The 6427-nt window shown below is 38.8% G+C and overlaps 1 annotated feature.

The window, feature by feature from the left end:
* Window positions 830-1374: an enhancer, noted in NCBI's record as "OCT4-NANOG hESC enhancer chr5:103372498-103373042 (GRCh37/hg19 assembly coordinates)". NCBI's record gives its function as "activates a minimal SCP1, AML or CMV promoter by ChIP-STARR-seq in primed H9 embryonic stem cells {active_cell/tissue: H9 hESC(primed)}" and the evidence as "EXISTENCE:reporter gene assay evidence [ECO:0000049][PMID:30033119]".

Consider the following 6427-nt stretch of genomic DNA (forward strand, 5'->3'; position numbering starts at 1 on the left):
CATAATTCTTCAGTTTAGCCTTCCCACCTCCATACAGTCTGATAACAGACCAGCCTTTATGAGTCAAATCAGCCAAGAAGTTTTTCAGGCTCTTAGTATTCAGTGAAACCTTTATATCCCTTATGGTCCTCCATCTTCAGGAAAAGTAGAACGGACTAAAGGTCTTTTAAAAACACACCTCACCAAGCTCAGCCACCAACTTAAAAAACACTGGACAATACTTTTACCACTTGCCCTTCTCAGAAGTCAGACCTGTCCTCAGAATGCTACAGGGTACAGCCCATTTAAGCTCCTGTATAGATGCTCCTTTTTATTAGGCCCCAGTCTCATTCCAGACACCAGACTAACTTAGACTGTGACCCCAAAAAACTTGTCATCCCTACTATCTTCTGTCTAGTCATACTCCTATTCACCATTCTCAACTATTCATACATGCCCTGCTCTTGTTTACACTGCCAGTTTATACTGTTTCTCCAAGCCATCACAGCTGATATCTCCTGGTGCTATCCCCAAACTGCCACTCTTAACTCTTGAAGTAAATAAATAATCTTTGCTGACAGGACTATGCTGAATTTCCTTAGGCACTCTAATTAGATGTCCTAGGTCCTCCCAATTCTTAGACCTTTAATACCTGTTTTTCTCCTTCTCTTATTCCGTTTAGTTCTTCAATTCATACAAAACCATATCCAGGCCATCACCAATAATTCTAAATGACAAATGTTTCTTCTAACAGTCCCACAATATCACCCCTTACCACAAAATCATCCTTCAGCTTAGCCTCTCCCACTCTAGGTTCCCACCCGCCCCTAATTCCGCTTGAAGCAGCCCTGAGAAACAGCGCCCATTATCTCTCCATACCACCCCCCAAAATTTTCACTGTCCCAACACTTTACCAGTATTTCATTTTATTTTTCTTATTAATATAAGAAGACAGGAATGTCAGGCCTCTGAGCCCAAGCTAAGCCGTCATATCCCCTGTGACCTGCACGTACACATCCAGATGGCCGGTTCCTGCCTTAACTGATGACATTCCACCACAAAATAAGTGAAAATGGCCTGTTCCTGCCTTAACTGATGACATTGTCTTGTGAAATTCCTTCTCCTGGCTCATCTGGCTCAAAAGCTCCCCTACTGAGCACCTTGTGACCCCCACTCTGCCCTCCAGAGAACAACCCCCCTTTGACTGTAATTTTCCTTTACCTACCCAAATCCTATAAAACAGCCCCACCCCATCTCCCTTCGCTGACTCTCTTTTCTGACTCAGCCCGCCTGCATCCAGGTGAAATAAACAGCCATGTTGCTCACACAAAGCCTGTTTGGTGGTCTCTTCACAGGGAAGTGCATGAAACTCACCTGTGTGCTTCCCCTTCTGCAAGGAGCTGAGAGCTGCGGGCTGAGTAGCAAGATATTCCTGTTGGGAGACCTATGATGGGGTCAGGGAAAATTTCCTGTTTCGGAAGGAGAGAGAGGTCTTGGTCAACTACCAGATGCTTGCCATCCTTACCACATTTCCACAGATTTTATTAGGTAGATATAAATGATATCTATAATTAGATATTATCTAATTATCTATAACTATCTAATTATCTATAATTAGATATTAGATAATATCTAATTATAGATATTTATAATATCTGTATATTATATATAATATCTATAATAATTATATAATATTTAATTATATAATTATAGATATATATTATATATAATTAGATATATCTATAATTAGATAATTAGATAATATCTAATTATAGATATTATTTCTAGCTACATATACATATGTACATAGCTATCAATATATCTGTGTACATATGTGTATATATAGATAGATATAGATATTTTTATCTATATATCTGTGTTTCTATCAATCTATCTAATCTATCTATCCTATTGGTTCTTTTTCTCTGAAGAACCTAATATAATACACTCATCTTCAAAATTATATCCAGAAATGACCACATCTCATCACTACTATTGCCAGCATTCTGGATCATGCTACCATTGTTTCTCATTTTCTATTTGCCTTAAGAATTATTCCCATAGGATTTAATCAGAAGTAAGATTAGATAGTTGTTTTAAAAATAATTTTCCCCAGTTTCACCAGGGAGTGGGTTGGCAGACTTCCTTATACTGTCAGGCTGGAAGTTGATTCCCTCTTCCCCCATGTAAACTTCTGAATGTGCTATTTTTACTTTTAATTACAAAAATATTTTTATTTTTAATTACACAATTTTCTTATAACACTTCTCAACGATATAGACCTTTGTAAAAATAGTATAGTTAAACTCCTTTTACCCTCCAGCCAATTCCACTCCCTAGGATAAACTACTGCTAAGTAAAGTAAATAAATAACTTTTAAATAACATAAATTGAACTTGACAGTAACAGGTATCTCTTGTAAACTGCACGTGACACAGTTATTTCAACCCTTCTCACATCACTTCCGTAGTTTTCAAGTAGCATAACTTATAGGCCAAGCTGTGCACAAGACTTAATCTGTGTTACCTGTTTCTAGCTCTGGCTTATTTCTGTGAAAGGAAAATAAATCTTGGGGCCCCAGATCACTAAGCTAAAGAGAAAAGTCAAGATGGGAACTGCTTAGGGCAAACCTGCCTCCCATTCTATTCAAAGTCATCCCTCTGCTCACTGAGATAAATGCATATCTGATTGCCTCCTTTGAAAAGGGTAATCAGAAACTCAAAATAATGCAACAGTTTGTCTCTCACTTACCTGTGACCTGGAAGCCCCCTTCCTGCTTCAAGTTGTCCTGCCTTTGATTTGAGTTGTCCCAACTCTTTGCACAGAACCAACATACATTTTACATATATTGATTGATGTCGTCTCATGTCTCCCTCAAATGTGTAAAACCAAACTGTTCGCCTACAACCTTGGGCACATGTCATCAGGATCTCCTGAGTCTGTGTCACAGGCACATGTTCTCAACCTTGGCAAAATAAATTTTCTAAATTAACTGAGACCTGTCTCCAATAGTCAGGGTTCACATTTCCATAAACTTTAATTAAATCCAGTGTTCAATTCCCAGAACTCATTGTATCTGAACCACTGCAGACATTTGATAGAGTTGAACACCGTCTTTCCTGAAACACCTTTCCACTTCCTTTCTGACTCCTAAACCTCCTAGTTCTCCGTATACTTCTATGGCTGCTCCTTCTCAGTCAGTTGTATTGGTTGCTACTCTTTTCCCTGACCTAAGAACTTTGCAGTCTTAGATCTCTGAATCTCTTTTCTGTCTATGCTTAAATCTTTTCCAATTTTCAACCAGACTGATAACTTTAAATGTTATCTATACACTGATCATTCCCAAATGTTCAACAACAGTTAGAACTCTCCTTAAACTTCAAACACATGTATCCAAGACGTATGCTCTTAGTTATTAACGAGAATCTCTAAATTCACATTGTCAAAGATGAGAGCTGATATTATACTTCTCCCCAGTCGGCTTCTCTCACAGCCTTCTCCAGCTCAGTAATCAACAGCATCATTCTTCCAGGTACTCAGTTCAACAATCATGGACTTAGCTTCTGCTGTCAAACCCTATATTCAATTATTGAGAAAATTTTGTTACCTCACTGTGATGGTCCAATTTATGTGTCAACTTGACTGGACTAAGGCATGCACAGTTATCTGGCAAAAAATTATTTCTGGGTGTGTTTGTGTGGGTGTTTTCAGAAGAGATTGGCATTTGAATGGGTAGACTGAGTAAGGAAGTTCCACCACCTCGCCAGTGTGGGTGGACATCACCCAATCTGTGAATGGCCAGTTTCACTCACGTCCGTGTGAAGAGACCACCAAACAGGCTTTGTGTGAGCAGTAAAGCTGTTTATTTCACCTGGGTGCAGTCAGGCTGAGTCCGAAAAGAGAGTCAGTGAAGGGAGATAGGGGTGGGGCCGTTTTATAAGATTTGGGTGGGTAGTGGAAAATTACAGTCAAAGAGCGTTGTTTTCTGGTGGGCAGGGGCAGGGGCCACAAGGTGCTCAGTGGGGGAGCTTTTGAGGCAGGATGAGCCAGGAGAAGGAATTTCACAAGGTAATATCATCAGTTAAGTCAGGAACCGGCCATTTTTCACTTCTTTTGTGGTGGAATGTCATCAGTTAAGGCAGAAACAGACCATTTTCACTTCTTTTGTGATTCTTCAGTTACTTCAGGCCATCTGGATGTATACGTGCAGGTCATGTGGGATATGATGGCTTAGCTTGGGCTCAGAGGCCTGACAGCCAGAATAGGACAAAAAGGCAGATGAAGGATGAATTCTTTCTCTTTACTTGAGCTAGAGCTTCCATCATCTCCTGAGTTTGGACATCAAAGCTCTAGATTCTCTGGCCTTTAGTCTTCAAGACTTATCCCAGGAACTCTGCAACTCTGTGTTCATACTTTCAGACTCAGATTGGGAGTTACACCCTCTGGTCTCAAGGTTCACAGGCCCTCAGACTTAACTGAATTTCCATCGTCTTTATTGGTTTGCCAGCTTGCAGAAGGAAGATTGTGGAACTCCCTGGCCTCCATAATCATGTGAGCCAATTCTCATAATAAATCTCTCTCTCTGTTTCTTTTTGTTTCTTTCTCTATCTATATATATACAAATATTTGTGTCCATATATTAGCTATACATATAGATACCTATATCTATATTTGTATCTATACACCTGACCTAAGAACTTTGCAGTCCTGAGTTAGATTTCTGAATCTCTTTTCTCTCTATGCTTAAATCTTTTCTGATTTTCAACCAGACTGATAACTTTAAATGTTATCTATACACTGATGATTCCCAAATGTTCAACAGCAGTTAGAACTCTCCTTAAACTTCAAACACATGTATCCAAGACGTATGCTCTTAGTTACTAACGAGAATCTCTAAATTCACATAGTCAAAGATGAGAGCTGATATCATACTTCTCCCCAGTCTGCTTCTCTCACAGCCTTCTCCAGCTCAGTAATCAACAGCATCATTCTTCCAGGTACTCAGTTCAACAATCATGGACTTAGCTTCTGCTGTCAAACCCTATATTCTTCTTTAAATATATCTGGATTTGTATATATAGATGTCCTCTTTATATATGTATGTATACATATTCTATATATCAGGCTATCAATATATCTGTGAACATATGTATATATAGATAAAAATGTCTATATCTATGTTATAGATAAAATATCTATATTTATGTTTCTATCAATCTATTTATATCTACCTATTCTATTGGTTCTATATCTCTGGAAAACCCTAATACAATACACTCATCTTTAAAATTATATCCAGAATGGTGACCACATCTCATCACTGTTATTGCCAGCATTCTGGAGCATGCTGCCATTGTTTGTCTTTTAGATTATTGTAATAGACTTTTAATTAATTAGTCTCCCAAAAGTAAACAGATAACATACTAAAATATGTTAATTAGAAAGTTTATTTATGAAGACATTTTATAAAGGTATGTGTAGTAGTCTATTCTCATGCTGCTAATATAGACATACTCAAGACTGGGTAATTTATAAAGGGAAGAGGTTTAATTGATTCACAGCTCAGCATGGCTGGGGTTGCCTCAGGAAACTTACAATCATGGTAGAAGGCAAAAGGGAAGCAAGGCATCTTCTTCACAAGGCAGCAGGAAGGAGAAATGCCTAGGAAAGGGGGAAAAGCCACTTATAAAACCATCGGATCTTGGGACAACTCACTCACTATCATGAGAATGCCATGGGGGCAACTGCCTCCATGATTCAATTACCTCCCACCAGGTCCCTTCCACAACATTTGGGGATTGTGGGATCTACAACTAAAGATGAGATTTGGGTGGGGACACAGCCAAACCATATCAGTATGAGTATAAAGAGACTGGAACTGGAAGTAGTGACAGCGAGACTCTTTTCATTTCTGGGCCTGGATACTTGTGAATGTGACCTTATTTGAAAGTAGGGTCTTGGAAGATGATTAAGTTAAGGTTTCTTTTAGGGTGGGCTCCACTTTAATATGACTGGTGCCTTTATGAAAAGCAGAAATTTGAACAAGATAGATATGTACAGAAGGAAGAAAATTCAACACACAAAGAACCAAGGAAGCTACAAGCCAAGAAACAGCTGAGGCTATAAGGAACCTAGGAAAGAAGCATGGAACACATTTCCTCCAGAGCCTTCAGAAGGAACTATCCCTGTTGATACTTTGATTTCAGACTTCTGGCCTCCAGAATTGTGGGACAATAACTTTCTGTTATTTAAGTCACTCAGTTTGTGGCATTGTGTTATGACAGCCCAGGAAATTAATACCAATGAGAAGAATGTGACAAACCCAGGTTACAGAGTTGAATAAATTTAGCAGATTTGAAAGTGTCACTGACCTTTTATTAAGTAGTATAACCTGCCATAGGCAAACTCATGGGGTAAAGCAAAGGAAATAAACTCTGACCTCACTCTG

The sequence above is a fragment of the Homo sapiens genome, chromosome 5, assembly GCF_000001405.40.
Source record: "Homo sapiens chromosome 5, GRCh38.p14 Primary Assembly".
Classification (NCBI taxonomy): Eukaryota; Metazoa; Chordata; class Mammalia; order Primates; family Hominidae; genus Homo; species Homo sapiens.